This window comes from Homo sapiens, chromosome 2 (genome assembly GCF_000001405.40).
Source record: "Homo sapiens chromosome 2, GRCh38.p14 Primary Assembly".
Taxonomy (NCBI): Eukaryota; Metazoa; Chordata; class Mammalia; order Primates; family Hominidae; genus Homo; species Homo sapiens.
Genome location: NC_000002.12, coordinates 85,538,964 through 85,562,270, shown reverse-complemented (window position 1 = coordinate 85,562,270; position 23,307 = coordinate 85,538,964). Strand labels below are relative to the sequence as shown.

General features: G+C 46.3%; 2 protein-coding genes across 8 annotated transcripts, besides 3 other annotated features; one reads left to right on the top strand and one right to left on the bottom strand.

Annotated features, from left to right (window-relative positions):
* Positions 575-804: an enhancer, noted in NCBI's record as "active region_16130". NCBI's record gives its function as "activates an Ori minimal core promoter by ATAC-STARR-seq in GM12878 lymphoblastoid cells {active_cell/tissue: GM12878}" and the evidence as "EXISTENCE:reporter gene assay evidence [ECO:0000049][PMID:35858748]".
* Positions 778-17,551, top strand: GGCX (gamma-glutamyl carboxylase). 7 transcript variants are annotated; one of them, XM_005264259.6, is made up of 15 exons: positions 778-885; positions 1,286-1,456; positions 3,196-3,354; positions 3,666-3,831; positions 6,011-6,089; positions 6,681-6,787; positions 7,965-8,128; positions 8,774-9,039; positions 9,201-9,332; positions 9,704-9,855; positions 10,290-10,459; positions 10,661-10,791; positions 11,199-11,346; positions 11,527-11,716; positions 12,145-17,551. In XM_005264259.6, exons 1-15 carry the CDS (start codon positions 843-845, stop codon positions 12,335-12,337), a joined length of 2,271 nt encoding a protein of 756 aa, XP_005264316.1. In that variant the 5' UTR covers positions 778-842; the 3' UTR covers positions 12,338-17,551. The 7 variants fall into 7 exon arrangements, with proteins under 7 accessions (XP_005264316.1, NP_000812.2, XP_016859292.1 ...); NM_000821.7 differs by having other exon boundaries at positions 11,521-11,716; XM_017003803.3 differs by lacking the exon at positions 1,286-1,456.
* Positions 16,990-23,103, bottom strand: MAT2A (methionine adenosyltransferase 2A). The gene is made up of 9 exons (NM_005911.6): positions 22,893-23,103; positions 21,111-21,188; positions 20,894-21,016; positions 20,526-20,638; positions 20,299-20,442; positions 19,898-20,116; positions 19,524-19,706; positions 19,237-19,370; positions 16,990-18,601 (listed from the first exon to the last, which is right to left on the bottom strand). Exons 1-9 carry the CDS (start codon positions 22,981-22,983, stop codon positions 18,499-18,501), a joined length of 1,188 nt encoding a protein of 395 aa, NP_005902.1. The 5' UTR covers positions 22,984-23,103; the 3' UTR covers positions 16,990-18,498.
* Positions 22,516-22,845: a silencer, noted in NCBI's record as "silent region_11702". NCBI's record gives its function as "represses an Ori minimal core promoter by ATAC-STARR-seq in GM12878 lymphoblastoid cells {active_cell/tissue: GM12878}" and the evidence as "EXISTENCE:reporter gene assay evidence [ECO:0000049][PMID:35858748]".
* Positions 23,026-23,295: a silencer, noted in NCBI's record as "silent region_11701". NCBI's record gives its function as "represses an Ori minimal core promoter by ATAC-STARR-seq in GM12878 lymphoblastoid cells {active_cell/tissue: GM12878}" and the evidence as "EXISTENCE:reporter gene assay evidence [ECO:0000049][PMID:35858748]".

Here is a 23,307-nt window from a genome sequence, read left to right as displayed (position 1 = left end):
TGCCGCACCCGGCTTGTTTTTTTTTTTTTTTTTTTTTGAGACGGGGTCTCACTGTGTCCCCCAGGCTGGAGTGCAGTGGTGCGATCACAGCTCCCTGCAGCCTCGAACTACTGGGCTCAAGCGAACCTCCCACCTCAGCCTCCCGAGTAGCTGAAACCACAGGAGCGCGCCACGACACACAGCTAACTTTTTTTTTAGTGTTTTTTCTTTTTTTGTTGTTGCCTTTTTTTTTTTTCTTTATCGATCCTCCCGCATTGGCCTTCCAAACTGTTGGGATTACAAGCGAGAGCAGTGCCCGGCCCCTACTGCTTTGAAACCTCGGTTCTTTGCAGGTCCTGGAAAAGAAAGTGAAGGGGTCGTGCAATGGCTCAAAACCCAGGCAACATTTCCAGGCGCGTCCTCAACTCGGCGTCACTCTGACAAAAAGTTTGCCCTTTGCGCCCGATCCCTCACACCAGAGAGCACCGCAGGGACGCAGGGACGGAGAGGACTAATGGGGTCGGGGAGGACCCAAGGAAGTTGGGGAACTCAGACTCTTTTCAGTGTTTAAAAAGCAGAGGCCCCCTCGGAAGGCATAACAGGCGAGTCTAACAATGCCCCTGGAGATCAACGGCACTAAGGGGTACCTTTGCCCCGCTCCAAGGCTCCTTGTTCCGCCCCCTGCCGCCAAGCAAGGAATCCGGCGCCGCCGGTCGTGGGTAGTATTTACGACAGTGCTGGCGCTTTGCGGCCGGCCGCACAGCCGCTGACGCGTCGGGAGGCGGAGCCTAGGGAAGCAAATTCTCCTGGCGGCCTCCGTTCAGACGCGGCAGCTGTGACCCACCTGCCTCCTCCGCAGAGCAATGGCGGTGTCTGCCGGGTCCGCGCGGACCTCGCCCAGCTCAGGTAGGCTTAGGACCCCGCCCTCCGGCGGAGAGTTCCTAGGAGCGCTGGTCTCAGAGGGGCGGGGGCGGGAGGACGCCCAGTGTCTCCCGGTGAGGCGGGGGGGGGGTCCTCTGTGGGGAAGGGGGCGTGCTGTGAGACATTTGCAGCCTGCGGCTTCTGAATGATGATGACATTCGGGAACACTGCGGTTAGGGGACTGTAGTCTGAGGGGTTCTGGGACATTAGGGGATCGTGGAGAGGGGGCTGCACTGCAGGGATGTTTCCTATAGTCAGATCATTGAGGCAACCTCATTGAGCCGACCCGGGTGGGCGGAAGCTCTGAGCTGTTGGTGCAGTGATTTCTTTGATTTGAGGTGGAGCCCACCCCCGCACACATATTTTCTCCATTTATTGATTGCAGATAAAGTACAGAAAGACAAGGCTGAACTGATCTCAGGGCCCAGGCAGGACAGCCGAATAGGGAAACTCTTGGGTTTTGAGTGGACAGATTTGTCCAGTTGGCGGAGGCTGGTGACCCTGCTGAATCGACCAACGGACCCTGCAAGCTTAGCTGTCTTTCGTTTTCTTTTTGGTGAGTCCAGTTTATGGGTGGGAGCAATTTGGTTGAGAGTGGAGAATGACAATCTCTATTTTTTGGTTGCAAGTAGACTTAGCTCCCTTTTCCTCAGAGCTGAAGACATTGGTATAAAAGAAGAGGTCTTTGCGAAGTTTAGGATTAAACCTGCTTTGTCTCCTACAGTTAGGATTTACTTGGTGGCCAGAAATGCTTTTTTTTTTTTCCTTAGACGGACTTTCGCTCTTGTTGCCCAAGCTGGAGTGCAATGGCGCTATCTCGGCTCACTGTAACCTCCGCCACCCGGGTTAAAGCGATTCTCCTCCCTCAGTCTCCCGAGTAGCTGGGATTACAGGCGCCCACCACCACACCCGGCTAATTTTTTATTTTTTTTGTATGTGTGTTTTTAGTAGAGACGGGGTTTCACCATGTTGGCCAGGCTGGTCTCAAACTCCTGACCTCAGGTGATCCGCCTGCCTCGGCCTCCCAAAGTGCTGGGATTACAGGTGTGAGCCACCGTACCCAGCTAGAAATGCTATATGATATGTAGAGGCGAGGCAGCAGTGACCCATTTTGCTTGTGGCATGAAGTTGCCCAGAAGACTCAGAGAAACAGAGCAGGGGGCCACAGGGACCATACCTTTTGGCTGTGACTCCCTAATCAAGAGCTTCTTAACTGAGGCCGCAGCATGGTGTGCTTGGAATGGTTTACAGATGTGCAGAGATATTAGTCCCCTTAGCCCAGTAGTTCTCAACTGGAGGGAGTTTTGCTCCCTGGGAGACATTTGGCAATGTTTAGAGACATTTTTAGTTGTCACAACTTGGGGGAGGAAGAATAGGTGGCTGCTGGCATCTCTATAGAGGTCAGGGAGTGCTCCTAAATGTCCTGTAGTGCATTGGATAATCCCCTCAATAAATAATTAACCAGCCCAAAATGTGACTAGTCCTGAAGTTGAGAAACCCTGCTTTATCTCAAGCTGGCTTCCTGATCTGAGTAGCCTCTTCTGTTTATTCCCAGGGTGTTGACGAAATGCAACTGTTTTTGGAGTGTGCCAGGAAGCAGAAAAGGTTGAGAAGCACTCCCAGAGCACTTTCTTTCTTTCTTTCTTTCTTTTTTTGAGACGGAGTTTCGATCTTGTTGCCCAGGCTGGAGTGCAATGGTGTGATCTCGGCTCACTGCAACCTCCGCCTCCCAGGTTCAAGTGATTCTCCTGCTTCAGCTTCCCGAGTAGCTGGGATTACAGGCATGCGCCACCACACCTGGCTAATTTTTTTGTATTTTAAGTAGAGACGGGGTTTTTCCATGTTGGTCAGGCTGGTTTCGAACTCCCAACCTCAGGTGATCTGCCCACCTCAGCCTCCTAAAGTGCTGGGATTACAGGCGTGAGCCACCGTGCCTGGCCTCCCAGAGCACTTTCTGAAGCTCAATAGGATGGATCTTTATAGCTGTCAAGACCCTAACAGTTTTTATAGCATTTTGTGCATTTCTGTAATTTAATCCTCTCTGTAGTCCTGTGATGTATTCCCCTTCTCACAAATGGGGAATTGGTTAACCGAGCTGCAGGGGCTGTTCTAGATGGCACAACAGATGTAGTACTGTGCAGAGTAGGCACTCAATAATTAATACTGAATAAATGGCAGAGCCAAGATTAGAAAAGAAGTCTGACCCTGGAGCTGCACACTGTCAACTGTGTTCCACTGTATTCTACTGCTTCCTTAGCTGAGGCCCAATGACCAACTCCCCTATTGCCTTCTTAGGGTTCTTGATGGTGCTAGACATTCCCCAGGAGCGGGGGCTCAGCTCTCTGGACCGGAAATACCTTGATGGGCTGGATGTGTGCCGCTTCCCCTTGCTGGATGCCCTACGCCCACTGCCACTTGACTGGATGTATCTTGTCTACACCATCATGTTTCTGGGTGAGGGGAACTGTGGGAAATATTGACTGGCCTGCCAGAAACACAGAAATAGAAGCATGCTGGTGAATGGTCAAAGTCTTTGGCACCTTATTTCACTTCTGCTGTGATCAATTTCATGCTGTTGACCTGTGTGTCACTTAAGCTGTGATCCCATAATTCTTTTTAAAATATTAAAATAACATTTAATTTTCATTTAGTTTTATGTGATTATACAATGCTTGATTTTTCTTAATTCCAACCATATCCTGGTCCAGGGAAACTGGGCCTGTGGTGATCTCTTGACCTCTTAATCCTCTCCCTACAAATCCCAGGGGCACTGGGCATGATGCTGGGCCTGTGCTACCGGATAAGCTGTGTGTTATTCCTGCTGCCATACTGGTATGTGTTTCTCCTGGACAAGACATCATGGAACAACCACTCCTATCTGTATGGGTTGTTGGCCTTTCAGCTAACATTCATGGATGCAAACCACTACTGGTATGAGTCAGGGGGGACAAAGGGGAGGGGTTGGCTGGGTCAGGATGGTTATCAGAGATAGGGGCCCAGTGAGGTTCTGGAATTTTTCAGTCATGTTTGCAAAGTATGGTTACAAGGTCACTTTGATCTAGGTGGATTTGGGAGGGGAAAGGGCCAACTAGTTGGAGCGCTTGGGATGACACAAAGCAAAATGGCTCCATCCCACCCCTTCAGTCTTTCCCTATCTCCCCAGGTGCCTTGATTTATTCACCTCTTGTAACCCTCTTAGAGAGAAAAACAGAATACTAAAGCCAGACATGGCTGTTTTCAGATACTTTAAGGGTGGTTATGTAGAAGAGGGAGCAGACTTTCTCTGTGTGAGTCCAGAAGGGCAGAGTTAGAGCCAAAAGTAGAAGTTGCTGTGAGGCAGAGATCATGTCAGGAGAAGAGGGCCCACCAGGGCTGCTCAGCATTGCTGTTCTCGGAGGAGGTAACCCTTCCCCATTTCTGGCTTAGGTGACTGTCTCTAAGGGGAGGTGGAGAAGGGATTTGGAGATAAGGTGGTGGGGCAGTTGACCTTAAGGATTCTTTATATGTTGAGTGAAAAGTAATAAAATAGGTGTCAATAACATGAGTATGGGGAAAAAAACTCAAACATTGAATTCATTAACAGTCATTAAGTTTTATTTATTTTTCTTTTTATTTATTTATTTTTAAATAGAGATGGGGTCTCGCTTTGTTGCCCAGGCTGGTCTTGAACTTCTGGGCTCAAGCAGTCCTCCCACCTCGGCCTCCCAAAGTGCTGGGATTACAGGCATGAGCCACTGTGTCCGGCCTATTTGTTAATACACACATACAAAACCCCTTTGGTAAAACTTGAAACTCATTCAGAATGGCCAGCTCTGATCATAGAGAATTAAGAGGCAGTTTTGATAGAATATCTCTGAAAAGTTCCGTTGTGGGGATATTTGTTGAGATGGCATCTCACTGTGTCGCCCAGGCTAGAGTGCAGTGGCGTGATCATAGCTCACTGCAGCCTCAACCTTCTTGTGTTTAGGTGATCCTTCCATCTCAGCCTCCTGAGTAGCTGGAACAACAGGTGTGTGCCACCACACTCAGCTAATTTTTAAAATTTTTTGTAGAGATGGGATCTCACTATGTTGCTCAGGCTAGTCAGAAGTTCCATTTTTATGACTTTATGCATTTTGAAAAAATCACTTATCATTTATTCAGGGTTTTCCACATCGCAGGCACTATACTAAATATTTAGAGTTTTTCCTCATTAAAACCCTGTAAGGTCGATGGTGCTGTTCACATTTTATGTTTTTTGGAGTCAGGGTCTTGCTCTGTCACTGAGGCCAGAATGCAGTGGTGCAGTCATAGCTCACTGCAACCTCAAACTCCTGGGCTCCAGAGATTCTCTCGCTTTAGCTTCCCAAAATGTTGGTATTATAGGTATGAACTACTGAGCCTGGCCTGTTCACATTTTAAAGATAAAGAAGCTAAGTATTATTGACGAGTGAAGAATTTGCCTAAGGTCAGCTAGCAGTTAAGAAACAGAAGTGAGTCCAGGTGTTCATGACTGCAGAGTCCAGTGCTCTTGACCACAGTGTAAGCTGCCCCTTTCCCAGCTTCTACTTCTTGAAAACTTGCTTTGCTTCTGCTTCCCCAGAGTACATCTGGTGTTAGTAGCCTGGGTCTAATCAGTTCTCTTCCAGAATACAAGCTGTTAGCAGGAACCCTCTTATACTGGATCCTGGCACCCAGGTCTATGAAATGTTAGTTTATGTTGTGTGTTACTCTGCTGTTGAGGGTTTTCATTTTTTTTTAAAGATAATACACCGCATATTTATTTACACATACATAGCTTTTCAAACACTCCATCAAATTCCTCCCCTTTTTCAGTAATTTTCTAGTATTGTAGTCCTTTTTTCCTGATTTGATCCATTAGAACAAACTCAACTGGGAGCTAACAAGAAATACTGAACTTTTTGCTGTTATAACTTAGTAGCAATATTTCTTCTATGACTTGTATAATCATGTTAGAATTTGCTCATATAATTCTAAAAGGTCTCAGAATAACCAGGGAGGATATGGGAGATGTGCCCAGGATAGATAGGATTATCGTGTATAAAAGGAAGGATGGAGATGTAGCTGCATTAAGCAGCTCCCCCCTCAATGTTTACCTCCCTCGGTGTAGGTCTGTGGACGGTCTGCTGAATGCCCATAGGAGGAATGCCCACGTGCCCCTTTGGAACTATGCAGTGCTCCGTGGCCAGGTACAGCATTTTAGGACAGAGGGAGGAGCTCCTTGACAGCCATGTGGTCAGCATGGCCATCCCACTGCCAGACTACACTCTCCGCTGCCTCCCTGGATCTTCTGTTTTTAGTTTTTACCCTTTGCTGGAAAGCTAGGCTGGCTTCTCATTTTTTCCAATCCCTTAATCTCTGAATTATCTTATTTGTCAAGGAAAGACTAGAGCTTTGTCCCTGCTAGATTGGAATCCTCATGACAAAGAGAAAGGATTCAGTCTGTGCTTTATGACTTCTTCCTTGGTGCCTGATACTGTCGCTGACATTGGTTGGATGTCAATAAATGCTGTTTGGATGAGGCGAATTTCTGAGATGAATGAATAGAAGATGGGGTCTATTCTTCCTTGGGCCCTGGACTCAGATCAGTATTTATTTTATTCATTTAAAAAATATATATAAGTAGATTATTTGGGTCAAGGACTGTAATATTTGGGTCAAGGACTGTAACTCAGGAGCATGGATTCAAGTTGTCCTAACTATATGCTCCTTATTTTATTCTTGCCTATCTGTAGAAAAGATTCTTTTTGCTTGAACTTTGTGTCACATTTTATTTTCAGATCTTCATTGTGTACTTCATTGCGGGTGTGAAAAAGCTGGATGCAGACTGGGTTGAAGGCTATTCCATGGAATATTTGTCCCGGCACTGGCTCTTCAGTCCCTTCAAGTGAGTGGCAGTCATGGTGGAGGCCTCTTTGAGGCATGGGTACAGAGCAGGTGACTCATCTCTCTCAGTAATGGCACCTGTTCCTACTTTGCCTGAATTTGCCACATGCCTTCCTTTGTCCACTCATTTCCCTATTCAGCAGAAGCAGAGTCAGTGGTATCAAAAGATTGAGCCCTAGCTGCTCTTGGGAGATATATGGTATAGATAGGCAAGAAAGGAAAAGAAATTTAAAAAGGAAAGGAAAGAGCCGGAACTGGCTGACTTGGTGAGTGAGCCAGTGCCCTCAGCAGCTGCCTTGGATGGTGCCTGTGTCCTTGCCTTGCCACTCTAGCCTCCCATCAGAGCCCTGCAGCTGATGTACTGAGAAGATGGGCACTCACTGTTCAGGCTCTGACAAAACCATTATTATCACTTCCACAAAACAAAGGGTCACCTTTCTGATTTGTCTTCTTCCCATTTCTTCTTTCCTCTTGTTTTACTTTATTCTCTTTCTTCTTCCCTGTTATTTTCCAGTTCCTGAAGTTTGACTTCATTATGATGTTAGCCAAGCATTCACCTTTTAAAGTGTCCTCTCACTCATGACCTCCGTGGGGAACGTCCCTTCCACAACACACACACATCTCAGTCAAATTTTGTCCTAGGAGATCTGCCCTTGCTTATTACATAGGATATGTTAGAAAACATTGAACACCTAAAGTGTGTGAAAATGTAGAGGGGGCTGGGCATGGTGGCTCATGCCTGTAATCCCGGCACTTTGGGATGCTGGGGTGGGAGGATTGCTTGAGCCCAGGAGTTCAAGACCAGCCTGAGCAATATAAGACACTGTCTCTACAAAAAAATTTTTTAAAAAAACAGCTAGGCGTGGTGGCACGTGCCTGTGGTTCCAGCTACTTCGGAGGCTGAGACAGGAGGATTGCTTGAGCCCAGGAGTTTGAGGCTACAGTGCACCATGATCATGCCATTGCCTTCCAGCCTAGGCGACAGAGTGAAACTTCGTTTCAACAACAACAACAACAACAACAACAACAAACAACCTAGAGGAGTGTCTTCATGGGTGGATTATGTACCTTAGGCATCTACCCAGCCACTGGAGTAGCCAAGGCACATTCGTGCTGTGAATGTGCTTTGATGTGTTCTCCAGTGGGCTGGTGCTTGAACTTTCTCCATGTGTTTGCAGACTGCTGTTGTCTGAGGAGCTGACTAGCCTGCTGGTCGTGCACTGGGGTGGGCTGCTGCTTGACCTCTCAGCTGGTTTCCTGCTCTTTTTTGATGTCTCAAGATCCATTGGCCTGTTCTTTGTGTCCTACTTCCACTGCATGAATTCCCAGCTTTTCAGCATTGGTCAGTACCTGTAGCCTGGGAGGAAACAGGAACCACAGTTTTGCAGGAAGGGACTAGCCAGAGGCATTGTTTGGGAGTGGGAGAGGGTGGTGTGAGCAGGAGCTAAATTGAACCCAGGGCAGTCACTATGAAGTAGGCATAAATGGGGATAAGAGGACTGGGGCTTCTGGGCTCAGTTAGTATGTTGTACAGTAGGGAATCTCCAGGAAGAACAAATATCTTACAGTTAAGAACTACTTTGTGGCCGGGCTTGGTGGCTCAGGTTTGTAATCCTAGCACTTTGGGAGGCCGAGGTGGGTGGATCACCTGAGGTCAGGAGTTCGAGACCGGCCTGACCAACATGGTGAAACCCCGTCTCTACTAAAAATACAAAAACTTAGCTGAGCATGGTGGCGCATGCCTGTAATTCCAGCTACTTGGGAGGCTGAGGCAAGAGAATCGCTTGAACCCAGGAGGCAGAGGTTGCAGTGAGCTGAGATCACGCCACTGCACTCCAGCCTGGGCGACAGAGAAAGACTGTCTCAAAAAAAAAAGAAGAACTACTTTCCTTTTCAGTGGAACACCTGGGAGAAGTCTCCTAAGGGAACGGGGTTGAAGAGGCCCAGCCAAACTCCTGAAATATGTATTTTCTCCCTGCTTTCCTAGGTATGTTCTCCTACGTCATGCTGGCCAGCAGCCCTCTCTTCTGCTCCCCTGAGTGGCCTCGGAAGCTGGTGTCCTACTGCCCCCGAAGGTTGCAACAACTGTTGCCCCTCAAGGCAGCCCCTCAGCCCAGTGTTTCCTGTGTGTATAAGAGGAGCCGGGGCAAAAGTGGCCAGAAGCCAGGGCTGCGCCATCAGCTGGGAGCTGCCTTCACCCTGCTCTACCTCCTGGAGCAGCTATTCCTGCCCTATTCTCATTTTCTCACCCAGGTTTGTAGGGGCTGTGGAGTGTACAGCAAAGGCTGGACTTAGAAAGGAACGGATGACAATAGTTGGGAAAGAATGGGGCTGGTTTTGCAGCCCCTTCTTGGTAGGGGATGGGGTCAGTGTGAGAAGCATTGAGCTGATTCCCCTCTGTGCTGCCTTCCCAGGGCTATAACAACTGGACAAATGGGCTGTATGGCTATTCCTGGGACATGATGGTGCACTCCCGCTCCCACCAGCACGTGAAGATCACCTACCGTGATGGCCGCACTGGCGAACTGGGCTACCTTAACCCTGGGGTGAGATGTCTGATGCTGACAATTTACTGTTCTTCAGAGCCCCCTTGTGCTTTGGGGTCTGGTTTTGTCTTACACACACCATAAAGCAAAACAAATTTGAGTCTGCTTTGCCTTTTCTCAAGAGCCAGATTGAACTATCTTTTATGTGGGTTGAGATAGGGCAATGCATTCATTTCCTTGAACTGAGATTAGATTCAGGAAAAGTAAGCACCACTAGCCCAACAATGAAAAATTCATTCCCAAAGGCAAGTTCCATTTTTTTCTAGCCAGAATGGGCAGCAGGCAGGGATCTCGTTGTGCCATTGGCAGTGCATGACATGTCTTGGAAGTTGATAATGATGAGGTGGGACTAATATGGGGGTTTGGGGCAGGTATTTACACAGAGTCGGCGATGGAAGGATCATGCAGACATGCTGAAGCAATATGCCACTTGCCTGAGCCGCCTGCTTCCCAAGTATAATGTCACTGAGCCCCAGATCTACTTTGATATTTGGGTCTCCATCAATGACCGCTTCCAGCAGAGGTGGGCAAGGGGAGCAGAGAGTGGGAAAAAATGAAGCACAGTTCTTTTTACCAAGATGAACAGCCCTTGCTTCCTGGTATTGTCTTGCTTAAAAAGCTGTCCTTCCTCTAGTGCATGTCCCCCTTGATCTGGTTGTGGGCATAGCTGGTTGCTTCCAGCAGGGGGCACCATCATCCAGGAGAAAAGTGAGTTGACTTGTTCTTTTAGACACTGTTGACATAATACCTTCTCAGGTAGCTACTAACCCCCATTATACCCAGTGCTCCAGATCTCTTCTGCCTTCTTTCTCTGCCCTGGACTGGCAATAACATGCTGACACAGGCCATTTCTTCTTCTATTCCCTGTCCTTAGGAATGATGATGAAAGGGAGAGAACTGGAAGTTCTGGTGGGTGGGTGGCTGTGATGTCCTTAGAACATGGTTTTCTTTCCTAAGGATTTTTGACCCTCGTGTGGACATCGTGCAGGCCGCTTGGTCACCCTTTCAGCGCACATCCTGGGTGCAACCACTCTTGATGGACCTGTCTCCCTGGAGGGCCAAGTTACAGGAAATCAAGAGCAGCCTAGACAACCACACTGAGGTGGTCTTCATTGCAGATTTCCCTGGTATGGAGGAAAGTGAGGAGAGGCTTTTCTGTCTTTCCTTCTGGCTTCCTTGGCCAGGGACATTCCATGTGGTGGGAGGGGAGAGGGAATGTTTTTGAAACCTAAGGGGATGATGGTGGTAAAGGTGTGATGTCTCTGTTCTGGCTGGGAGTGAGTTCACTCTGCCATGGGGTGGGATGATGAACTCTGTTGGTCTGGCAGGACTGCACTTGGAGAATTTTGTGAGTGAAGACCTGGGCAACACTAGCATCCAGCTGCTGCAGGGGGAAGTGACTGTGGAGCTTGTGGCAGAACAGAAGAACCAGACTCTTCGAGAGGGAGAAAAAATGCAGGTATTTTGCTGGGATTAACAACAGCAGAAAGAACTGAGTGCAGTAGCTCACACCAGTAATCCCAGCTTCTTAGGAGGCTGAGGTGGGAAGCCAGGAATTCACAGTGAGCCTGAGCAACAGAGTGAGACCCCATCTCTAACAATTTAAAAAACAATGGCAGAAAGCTTAGATGAGCAAGATTCACTTATTATAGACTGAAAATATTTTACCATAGCAGTAATGCAGTGGAGCTCAAAAAACAAGGGCCCCTGGGACTGTGAAGAGCCTCATCCAGGATTCTAGAGGTCCGTTACTTTCGATTCCAAAACACAATTGAGTAGAAAGAAGCCAAGAGTCATAGAGTAGGGAGGCCATAAGCTGGCTAGAGAAAAGCTGATGAAATTTATCCATTTCTTCTCCCTTGTCAGTTGCCTGCTGGTGAGTACCATAAGGTGTATACGACATCACCTAGCCCTTCTTGCTACATGTACGTCTATGTCAACACTACAGAGCTTGCACTGGAGCAAGACCTGGCATATCTGCAAGAATTAAAGGAAAAGGTGGAGAATGGAAGTGGTGAGTGTATGAACATTTGGGCTGAGATAGCCTCTGGTTTCAAGAAGTCAGGGTTATGAATGATGTTCTAGCCATTCAAGAATGAACTTGAAGTCTCTAGCTGGCAGAAGAGGAGTTCTAAGGGGAGAGAGTGATCCATCTCAGTGATTCCTCTTTTTTCTGTCTTCCGGGCAGAAACAGGGCCTCTACCCCCAGAGCTGCAGCCTCTGTTGGAAGGGGAAGTAAAAGGGGGCCCTGAGCCAACACCTCTGGTTCAGACCTTTCTTAGACGCCAACAAAGGCTCCAGGAGATTGAACGCCGGCGAAATACTCCTTTCCATGAGCGATTCTTCCGCTTCTTGTTGCGAAAGCTCTATGTCTTTCGCCGCAGGTAAGTTCACAACAATATTTGTCATTGCCATCATATGTTGGCAAGCTTGGTAACTTTCCCCTGGGGAGAGTAACTCTAGAGACTGTCATACAGGAAAGGACAGTTTAGCTCTAGGTATCTTTTCCTGCCATTCTTCTTGATTTACTGGAAGAATAAGTGGCCTATATCTGATGGCCTGCTTTCTTGTTCTGCCTCAGCTTATCTCCAGCCTCTCTGTGGGCTGTTCCTACCCTATCCTGGAATCCTCTACCAGACTGTATAAAGAGTGGTGTACCCTTCCAGCTGGGAGATGGAGGGTCACTTGGGGGGAGATTCCCATATATGCCTGTGTGGGAGGAGTGAGGACCAGGTGCCTTCTAAGGGCTTTAGCTGAAATTCTTCTGGTGAAACAGGAGTTTGAACTTGGTCGGCTTTTTCCTGTTTTTCAGCTTCCTGATGACTTGTATCTCACTTCGAAATCTGATATTAGGCCGTCCTTCCCTGGAGCAGCTGGCCCAGGAGGTGACTTATGCAAACTTGAGACCCTTTGAGGCAGTTGGAGAACTGAATCCCTCAAACACGGATTCTTCACATTCTAATCCTCCTGAGTCAAATCCTGATCCTGTCCACTCAGAGTTCTGAAGGGGGCCAGATGTTGGGTGCAGATGTAGAAGCAGCCAGTCACAGACCCATTCTATGCAATGGACATTTATTTGAAAAAAATTCTCAAAAGTTTTTTTTTTTTTTTTGGGGGGGCGGGGTTCTAAAGCTGTTTTTAACTCCGAGATTACAACTTAGAGGAACCAAGGAAATAAAGCAAATAAGATTTAACAACCCAAGATTAAGAGGCCAGGAAGAGGTTAGACGCAATGTGAAACTGTCCTCCTAGGATAAGGTTTAAAGTGGCTTTTTGGGGGCTGGGTGCCGTGGCTCACGCCTGTAATCCCAGCATTTTGGGAGGCTGAGGTGGGCAGATCACTTGAGGCCAGGAGTTCGAGACCAGCCTGGCCAACATGGCAAAACCCCTTCTCTACTAAAAATACAAAAATTAGCCAGACGTGGTGGTGGGTGCCTGTAATCCAACTACCCAGGAGGCTGAGGCATGAGAATCGCTTGGGCCCAGGAGGTGGAGGTTGCAGTGAGCCGAGATCGAGCCACTGCACTCCTGGGCAACAGAGCAAGACTTCGTCTCAAAATAAATAAATAAAGTGGCTCTTGGGGAAAAGCAATTTAATGTACCACGATGAATAGCTAACTGTTCCCAAGTGTTTGCTATGTGCAACACACCGCGTGAGCAGTGTTACCTGCATTATTACATTAGGCTGAGAGGTAAAATAATTTGCCCGAAGACATACAGCTAGTGACGAATGGACTGATGGTTTGAACTTAACGTCTATTTGACTTAAGGTCCTGCACCCTGCCACTTGTAATTTTCAGAATCACTGATAATCTGAAATAATGCAGCTTAAAACATGTTTTCTTAATTAAAAGTATAATTGGATGGTGGTCAGGTTGTAAATGCACACAAAGTAATTTATCTTCATTGCAATTTTGGTTCCTTCTTTGTTCCTATTATCTATATACACCCAGTGTTTCACTAGCAGTTATGAGAGCAGTCAGAATAGCAGCATCAAAGTTAAATAAGGAAATCTAGATGATTGCTAGATTTTCTCTAAAAATAAGCTTAGTATTTGGTATTATTCTAGCCTTTGGTGAGCAGAAGGGGAGGTAAAGTAAGAATTAACTAAATTTAGTAAGGGATTAGGGAATGCTTAGACATTTTGTAGGTTGGGGTATACAAGGGTAACTCAGGAAGCTCCTCAGTTCAGTGAAAATTCAAAGGGTTGGCACTGAGCTAGGAAGCGAGAATGCAGGGTTATGAAAAAGGATCCCTGCTTTGGGAGCTCATGGACTTGTAGCAGAGACCGGTAGTAAATTGGCAGTCTCAGTAACTTCTGTAAATGATTGCATCTCTTTGCAGGCTTCTCTTCCCATACTCTCCCCCACTCCTCCTTGGACAGTGTTCCGGGGGTTCTTTCCTAAGCAACTGCTTTTTCAGTATACATACTTCAGATGATTGTGTCTACTCCAGGATTTCCAACGATGCTAGGTTTCTTTCCTGTGCCCTAGACGTATAGGTCTAAGTTCCACCTGGATATCCCACAGGGCTATCAAGCTCAGTTCATCCTAAACAGAACTTACATTCATCCCCAACTCAGACTTCCTTATTCTTTATTATTGAATGGCAGCTCTGTACCTTAGCCAAGCTGTTATCTCTAGGTCATCAGCCTTGACTCTTCCTTTTTCCTTGCATTTCTTAAAATTGCCAAGTCCCATCAATTTTACCTCCTGGATACCTCTTGAATCTATTTTTTTTTAAAGACAGGGTTTCACTCTATCACCCAGGCTGGAGTTCAGTGGCACAATCTTGGCTTACTGCAGCCACCACCTCCTGGGTTTAAACGATTCTTCCACTTCAGCCTCCCATGTAGCTGGGACTACAGGTGCCCACCACCACGCCCAACTAATTTTTGTATTTTTAGTAGAGACATGGTTTCCCACATTGGCCAGGCTGGTCTCAAACTCATGACCTTAAGTATCCACCTGCCTTGGCCTCCCAAAGGGCTGGGATTACAGGTGTGAGCCACCGTGCCCAGCCAAATCTGTTTTCATTACTACCTATATCTGTATTTTCAACCTTTGTATTAGCATCTAGTTAGGGATAGACCAGGACAGGGCCGACATGTTAGTTGTCAAGCAGATTGCCACCCTCCCCCACCACTGAGGAGGCCAAATGGAGTTTGGTGGAAAATCTCTAATTCATTCAAGGTATTATATGGGCAAGCAATGGCTGTGGCACAGGGTCCCCTGATTACTTTGTAAGAATGGGTGGGAGGGATGCTGATTTTCAATCCTTTTGCAGATCTTCTCTCATAGTAACACAATAGAAGATACTTTGCCACTATGTTGTTTGCCAAACTCACTGTACCTACTTGACTGGTAACAAAAGTCCCAAGAGTTACTTGGGAGAAGACACTTGAAAAAGTATTTTTCTAAATATGGGCAAGGATGCTGCCCTTCCCCAAACTGTTAGTATACCACCTCTCTGACCAATTTTCCCAAGGAAGATATTGGGGTAGGGTGAGGTGTAAAGAAAAAGTGGTCATGTAAATACTGGTAATAAAAGCTGTTCAGTGGGGTAGAGTTGGGTTGCAACTGTAGCCATTCTAAAAATGGGCTATCAATGTCCTTTTAGCCAAAAGACTTTAGTATACATCCTCCTCATTCTACCCTCAGGATTTGGATCTTTGCCCCTGATGGGTATCCATCCCCTTTGAAACTTTAGAAAGGCAGGTTATATACAGAATGTTCAACCTAAAGACATTTCCTTAAGTCATACTTTCATGCTTTCTAAACTATAATCACCCTTATCATCCCCTGCTGTTATGCTTTCCCTCTGCTCCCTGTGGCCTAATGTTCCTCCACCACCTTATTAACCTTCAGGATACTTTTCCCCTAGGCTGGGCAGGACAACACTATCCCCTTGGTCCACAAGCTCCCTCAAGGTTGGGGAATCTTTGTTTACTTAGCAAATACTGAACATAACCTTAAAGCGGTTACTTTTGAAAACTTCTCATGCTATTCTACCAACTTGGAGGCACCTATCCATGCTCATTCCCCTAATGTAGCCAATATGGTTATCTGCAATGTATTGGCATCTAAAAACTCCCTTATGAAACTGCCAGACTTGTTCTGGAACATTTCAATTACATGCAAAATTCAGGTTCTCAAGTTGGAACAAGTCTAATTGACACACCTGCATAGGTTTTAACCTTGCCCTCCCCCTACTTCCCAACAGATTTCCAAGTTTTTTGAGAAGGAACCTTGCTCTGGCCCAGGCTGGAGTGCAATGGCGCCATCTCGGCTCACTGCAACCTCTGCCTCCTGGGTTCAAGTGATTCTCCAGCCTCCTGAGTAGCTGGGATTACAAGCACCTGCCACCACACCCAGCTTTTTTGTATTTTTGGTAGAGACGGGGTTTCAGTTTGCCAGGCTGGTATCAAACCGTGACCTCAGGTGATCCACCCGCATTAGCCTCCCAAAGTGCTGGGATTACAGGTGTAAGCTACCATACCCAGATTTCCACGGCTTTTTTTTTAAGTCTCACTCTGTTACCCTGGCCGGAGTGTGGTGGCACGATTTCAGCTCACTGCAAGCTCCACCTCCCGGGTTCACGCCATTCTCCTGCCTCGGCCTCCTGAGTAGCTGGGACTACAGGTGCCTGGCTAACTTTTTTATATTTTTAGTAGAGACAGGGTTTCACTGTGTTAGCCAGGATGGTCTCGTGATCTGCATGCCTTGGCCTCCCAAAGTGCTAGGATTATAGGCTCACGCCTATATTACTATATAGTGGCCTATATTACAGGCCACTCCGCCTGGCCTCCAAATTTCCAAGTTTTTAAGTCTCCATGCAAACAGGCATAAGCAAGCACTCCTTGGCTCTACATTTGCAGGACAAGCTGGACCACCATTCAGATGTTGGTAGAAATGTAATCCAAGTGGCTATTCTCTATGCATGTAGCTCCTAGGTTCAAGAGCAGTGTGGTCTGCGGATTTTCTACACAACCTGCCATAAATGAAATTTAAGCCTTTGGAAATTTATAGCATTTTCAGCTAATTTGCATTATTTATCTCTGCAAGATATTGACTAGAAATCACGTTTCAGAACTTCTCAGATGAAAACATCATACAACCCTTAAAACTAAGCTCATAATTTAAAAATGTATGCAGATTAATAGGCTTAAATTGCCAGGACTTTAGATAGACATTACCACTTCCAGGTTAATACTTTTAGCGGTTTTTATGCCTTCAATGGTTTGAAGCCCTCAACCTTAGTTGAAAACTTAAAAATGGCATTGAATGGCTGCTGCAATAAGGACACATGAATTTTGGCTTAAGTGGACTAGGAGGACTAAATCTTGCTTAGGCTTTTAAAAAATGCCCACCCACTGGGTCTAGGGATTGAGGTTATTTTCCTGAATTATGGCTAATTATGGATTACAATTCAAGGTTAAAGATACACATATAGTATTCTCAGGTTATTCATATGATAGCATTTTTTAAGAGCCAAAGTCTCAGTCACCCAGGCTGGAGTGCAGTGGCTTGATAATGGTTCGCTACAGCCTCCAACTTCTATGTTAAAGTGATCCTCCTACCTCAGCCTTTCAAAGTGTTGGGATTATAGGCACGTACCTATGGCCCCAAAGCACTTTAACAAATGAGTAACAGACACAGTTAAGGTAGAACCTAGCATTTTATTTAGATCTTCATTAAACTGTTGGAATTGAGAACCAGACATACGTAATAAACCTCCAAAAATAGATCCTGAAAGGCACTTTCTGCTTAGGGCAAGCAGTCATGGAATAAGCATGTAAACAAGCTGGCTTCTCTGTACCACACCAGCCAAGTCAGCTTTCTCCATGGCCAGCCGCACCAGCTCTGCCCTCCCTTCTGTTAACACCAGCCAGACCCCCTGTAGGTCTAACCCAAGGTTTTTCTGTAGGACACCTTGGCCTACCTGGGAATGCTGGAAACATGTTGTTAAAGGAATCATGGTGTTGAGAGAAAAAAAAAAAATCTTTTAAAAGCTGCCATCTGAGGTGATGGCTTCTCTGTACTTACGCCATACCCCAGAATACAATAAATAAGCAATTAGAAAACGTTCAAGTATGAAGGGATTTCCTCCTCCCCGCCAAAAGCACTGCTCTCTGAAGGAAGCTGGTTTCTCTGTAGCTACACCAGCTGTTCAGAAAGCTCATTGGACCTGGTTTTGAAAATAAAACAAAGTTAAAACCCTGGGAGGAGTTATTGTGCAGTGTGGAGTACTCAGGCTTTCTTATAAAGAAAAAAAAAAGTTATCTGGTACCAAAGTGTGCAACCTACAGACCCTCAGGTACTGCCCTGTGACTTCTCTGTATGACATCACAAGGCTGCCAAGTGCCTGTTTTTCTAGAACTAGGAGTTGGTGAGGTTTGGCTAGTGCTGAAACCATGCATAGGATTGGTTTACTAAATTAAAACCTTATTACGTACGTCCTCCAAAAGACAGCTGAAAGTGGAGAGATTTTGATTTGGTGCTGTTAGAGGTGGCAATTAAGAGCATAAGCACCAGGGAGATGGTTTAATGGTAACTGCCTTTTTTGATGTCAGGCTGGAGCTCCAACTGGGAACTTGCGTTACATGCAAGATTGATTGGATAGGGAACACTCCCTGACAAAGAGCTACATAATTAGAAATGGATCAAGTTACAGGGAGGATAAGGGGAAGGCTTCACATTCATAATAGAGCTCAAGACATTACAAATTCATGCTGACAGGGCTGTGGCATTGCCAGACAGAGGCTATAAGTGGAACTACAAGTACTTTACGTGCACATCACAAGGACATTTTCAGCATCTGGTGGGGAAAGTCAATGCAATTATGACTTTGGAGCGTTGGGTGATAGGGCACAAAGGTTCAATTTCAAAGCATTATTTACTACAGTGTTGTTTCTAGGCAGTTACATGGATCACCTATGCTCACTAAATTCATTATAATGGTGAACAAAACACCTAGGGACAGAATAGCAAGCCCAACTTACAGTCCCCCACAAAAGCTAAAATTCATGTCATTGACTAGAGTGACTGCAACTGGTCAGGAGCTGAAAGAGGACAGGAAAATTTAGGAAGGAGGGCCCTTTCCCTCAGAGCTTGAAGGCTTCTCTGTAGCCTACGCCAACAAGTCTGGGGAAAAAAGGCTAACACTTTCAATATTTAAGCTTTTTGGGCACTTCCCATGGGAAGCTGTCCCTACCAAAGTGGCCATAGGCTGCAGTCCTCTGATAAATTGGCTTCTTCAGATCCAGATCCCTGGAATATACAAGTCCGTAACTTAATATGTAGCATTAAATTAAAATAAAGCAAAACAATCAGCAAGACTCATTTTCAAGAGCTCTGGCAAATGAGTTCTCTGGGATATGCTAGGAAAAAAATTTGTGGCAAAAGTGTTACTTCCCTGGTGTCCAAACTCCTTGCACAGTCCTTATTAGTAACTATAGTTGTTTTTCCGTCCCTGGCTCAACAAATACGAAAACTTGTCATTATTCTGAGAAATTTCAATTGTCAAAAAGCTCACCTGAGATCACACAATACTTACCAAGGTCCCGCCGCCCACACCCTACCATGGTTTTTACATTGCAACAAACCTTGAGCAACCCACTTTATCTCTATTTTCTTAACACCCTTAAGTAGAAGAGCACAAAGCTCAAATATCAAATCTGGAACATTCTCTAGAGTGGTTAGCCTAAGCCATGGAGCACCGTAATTTTAAATTTCTCAAATAACTAAGTCTTCACTAAGGCAGCAGTTCAAAACTGTTCCAGGAATTAAAATATATTCCCATTTGAGGAGTCTTCCTTCACACCTTCACCTCCTCAGCCTTAAGTATATACACACACACCCAACACCCTCAATACTTGACTAGCAACAGGCTTTACCATCTTTACCTGACAATGACCCCAGGGCGGAGATCGAAATTCTTCTTCACAATCTCTAATAGCTCTCTCTCACTCTTCTGAGAGGTACCATAATGGAAAATGGAGATAGATAATGGATGAGAAACTCCAATAGCATAAGAGACCTAAAAGGATTCAAATGTCGTAAGAATCAGTGATTGCAAAGACCCATATACTTGTATAATACGTTGGTATAAAACAAGTAGTTAAGTAGATTACTACTAAATACCCTCCCACTTACATGACTTTTAATCGTTCGTTATATAAAGAGTGTATACCTGAACAAGAACCCTCCGGCACAGACCTCCTTTAACAAGGGATTTTGCCACCCAACGAGCAGCATAAGCAGCTGAACGGTCGACCTTGGTATAATCCTTTCCTGAAAAGGCACCTCCTCCATGAGCACCCCAACCGCCATAAGTGTCCACAATGATTTTGCGTCCAGTCAAACCAGCATCACCCTGAAATTACAGGATTTAAGTTACTTTACGCCTAGTGCTTTCCAAGTGGATTAGGTTGCCTATTCTGAATTCATTCAGCAAATATCCTCCGATGATTCACATGTAGGTTTCAGAAAGCCTGAAAAAAATGTAGTAGCCAAAATTTTAAGTAACCATCAAAAATCCAGAAAAATGCAACAAAATGACATTACCTGAGGCCCACCAATAACAAATCTGCCACTTGGCTGTAGGTGGTAGATTGTATCCTCATCAAGGTATTTCGCAGGCACAACTGCTTTGATGACTTTCTCCTTTAGGGCATCCCTCATTTCATCAAGACAAACCTCTTCATCATGCTGAACAGATATAACAATTGTGTGGACTCTGATGGGAAGCACAGCACCTCGATCCTGCATATACTGCACAGTAACCTTGAAGGCAACACAGGTCATCAGAACATCACACCAAACAATAACTTTGTATTTGTTTCTCTACCTGAAGTTACAATATAGGAAAACAAATGCTATTTTTTCCAGTTAGCTATTATCAAAATTATGGATCTTCTGTGCTGATGTAATAAATGAGACAACCAAGCTTTATGATCATCACTTACTTGAGTTTTAGAATCAGGGCGTAACCAAGGCAAAGTGCCATTACGGCGTAGTTCTGCCAGTTTGGCATTTAGCTTGTGTGCCAAGACAATGGTTAAAGGCATACACTCCTCAGTTTCATCAGTGGCATAGCCAAACATTAAGCCCTAAAGAAAGAAAAGTCACCAATGTGATCAAGCTCCAGAATTTAATGTTAGAAGAGATTAAAACAGCCTCTACACCAAGATACCTGGTCTCCAGCACCAATGTCTTCTTCATTTCTGTCAAGATGAACACCTTGAGCAATATCTGGTGACTGTTGCTCCAAGGCTACCAGCACGTTACAAGTCTTGTAGTCAAAACCTATAAGCAAAAAACACAACATCTTGTTTACGTCCTAGAAATACCTGCTGTTTACAGCAATTATCTGGAATTCTAAACACTGCTGAAGAAATCAAATATACCTAAACCATCGGACCTTTTAGAGAATGAACAGAATAGGGCTTAGTGTATAGTAAGATACAACTGGAGTTTAGGATTAGCAGGAACATTCTAGGAGTTTCTTCAAACCTCACAGCTGTTACCTAGAAAAAAATGAGCAAAATCATTAAAACACACCTTTGGAAGAATCATCATATCCAATGTGTTTAACAGCTTCACGAACCACTTTCTGGTAGTCAACAGCAGCTCTGGATGTAATTTCCCCAGCAAGAAGGATCATTCCAGTTTTAGCAACAGTTTCTAATAAAAAGAGACATTCAACTCAAACATCACTTCTATAAAAATAATTTTTATGCTATCTTTCCACCAGTTGATAAGCACATTCTGAACCTACCACAAGCTACTTTGGCATCAGGATCCTGCTGAAGGTGGGCATCAAGGACAGCATCACTGATTTGGTCACAAATCTTATCTGGAAAAGAGAAATTCCTGGCTCAGTTTCTTTAACTTTAAACAAAGTATGTATGTATGTATGCAAGCTCCCTCCCTGTTACTATCTGTAAAATCTTTGGAGATTTTAAAAAACATGCTTAATACATCTTAATTCATTGTGTTTGCACTTTCCTCCTAAAATTCAAAGTTTGCATTATAAATCTAATCACCAGAAAGGTGAACTGTTAGTCCTATATCCTTTAAAGAACAGAATTTGCCCTATATCATATTCACTTCCACAACTGTACCAAACCCCTCTGCACCTGGGAGTCTGGTAGAACTGAGGCCACAGGTAGGCCAGTTTCCCTAATCTTAAGGAACACCAATTATAATGAGCAACAAGATAATTCGATTAAACAATTAAATGAAAAGCATTTTCTGACTAAAATGGCAATTATCTGATTTTGCTGTTAGGAGTTGCGCAGGAAACAAAAGCTCAACAGTGTAGAAGATGCTCAAACGTATTCCGAATCCATGTCTCCCTGCTTTGTCATCTATTGTTAGGAGGGAGAACAAATATCTCCCTAATTCAAGTTCGTTTTTCTGAATTTTCTATAACCGCCTAAAACAGAATCCAAACATAATGTGGAAGCCAGACTGCAGGCTCTGAACTTCGGTCTACTACTAACTGGTGTAACAGCTAACCTTCAGCACTCATCAAGATCCTGGGTTTGTCCTCTCATACCACTAAGTTACTTGTGGGATTTCATCATGGGCACAGTAAACTGACCAGACCCTAAAGCCACCAGATAGATAACTACTGCGGTCATCCTAAGGGCAGAAACAGCCAAAAGAGCCAAATAATCATCTTTACTAGCCGATATGCTCAGGCTGAGATTTTCAGTTCCTGGAAATATAGCTTTACTCCTCCTTCACGTGCCAATTGATCCCCATAATGGCGGTTGAGCGGACAAAGCCTCAAGTAAAACCCTGCACCGAAGACTTTAAATGCGAACCCAAAGCAATGGCAGCTCCTAATTCATGCTTCCCATCCTTTTCACAAGGGGTCCAAATAAGGACTGCCTTCTTGGACATGAGCTATATTTAGTCAGAGGCCGTCACCTTGGAGGCAAGGCCATATCCGCCGAAGGGCATGTGCGTATTCTCCAGTGTGTAGTCAAGACCTAACCACTGAGGCAGTGGAGCCAGACGACGTCCCAAGGCATAGGCCCCCCACCCCTCAAACTGAGGGCCAGGACAGCCGGGGAGGCTCACGGCTCCCCCTCGCCCAGATACCACATGCGGCAAACACGTGGTCGCCGCTGCAATGCGGGGCGCGCGCTCCCGAGGGCCGGACGCGAGCACGCGGGGCGGGTCGCCCACTCCAGGTTTGTCAGACGGCAGGGCCGGGAGGGGTTAACAGTGCCCTCCCTTCCCGGCCAGAACTCACTAGCGACCACAGCCCCCGCCCTTCACGTTTTCTGGAACCTTCCGCATGCCTAGGCGCGCGACCGAATGAAAAGGGAGGGGGGAAGGGAAGGGTGGAGAGGGGAGGGGGAAGAGGAGCGGCGGCCACGCGCCAGGCCCTGGCGGCGCCACGAGGAAAGCGCGCGGTCGCCGCTCTTCCATCACCCGGCGGACGAGGACGACCCGCGCGGGCCCCACCACCGGCCGGCCGCAGCCAGCCGGACCTTGGCGCTGCCTTCTGCCCCGCCCCACGCTTCGCTTCAGGCCGTCCCCTCACCTGGGTGGCCTTCCCCGACCGACTCTGAGGTGAAAAGGAATGTGCCCTCCTCGATGAACGCCTCGTGGAAGCCGTTGAGCTGTCCGTTCATGTTGGTGTCGGTGTGCGGAAGTGGCCTTACGAAGGAGCAGCGGCGAGGCGGCAGCGGCTGCGAAATGCGCAAGCTGCGGACAGCGTTCTACTCGTAGCAGGCGGGCGGCGCGGAGCGAACGAAGCAGCGGGCGGTGCGGCCCGGTATTTATAGAGCAGCGCCCGCGCGCGCCCGGCTCGGGCCCCGCCCCTCGGCGCCGCGCGCCAATGCACCACTTGCGCGGGGGTCGGGGGAGGAAGGGCAGCTCGCCCCGCGGAGTCCGGGCTGAACCACACTGCGCGGCCGCGGGAGGTGCCGTGGCAATCCGGCCCTCCAGAGACCGTT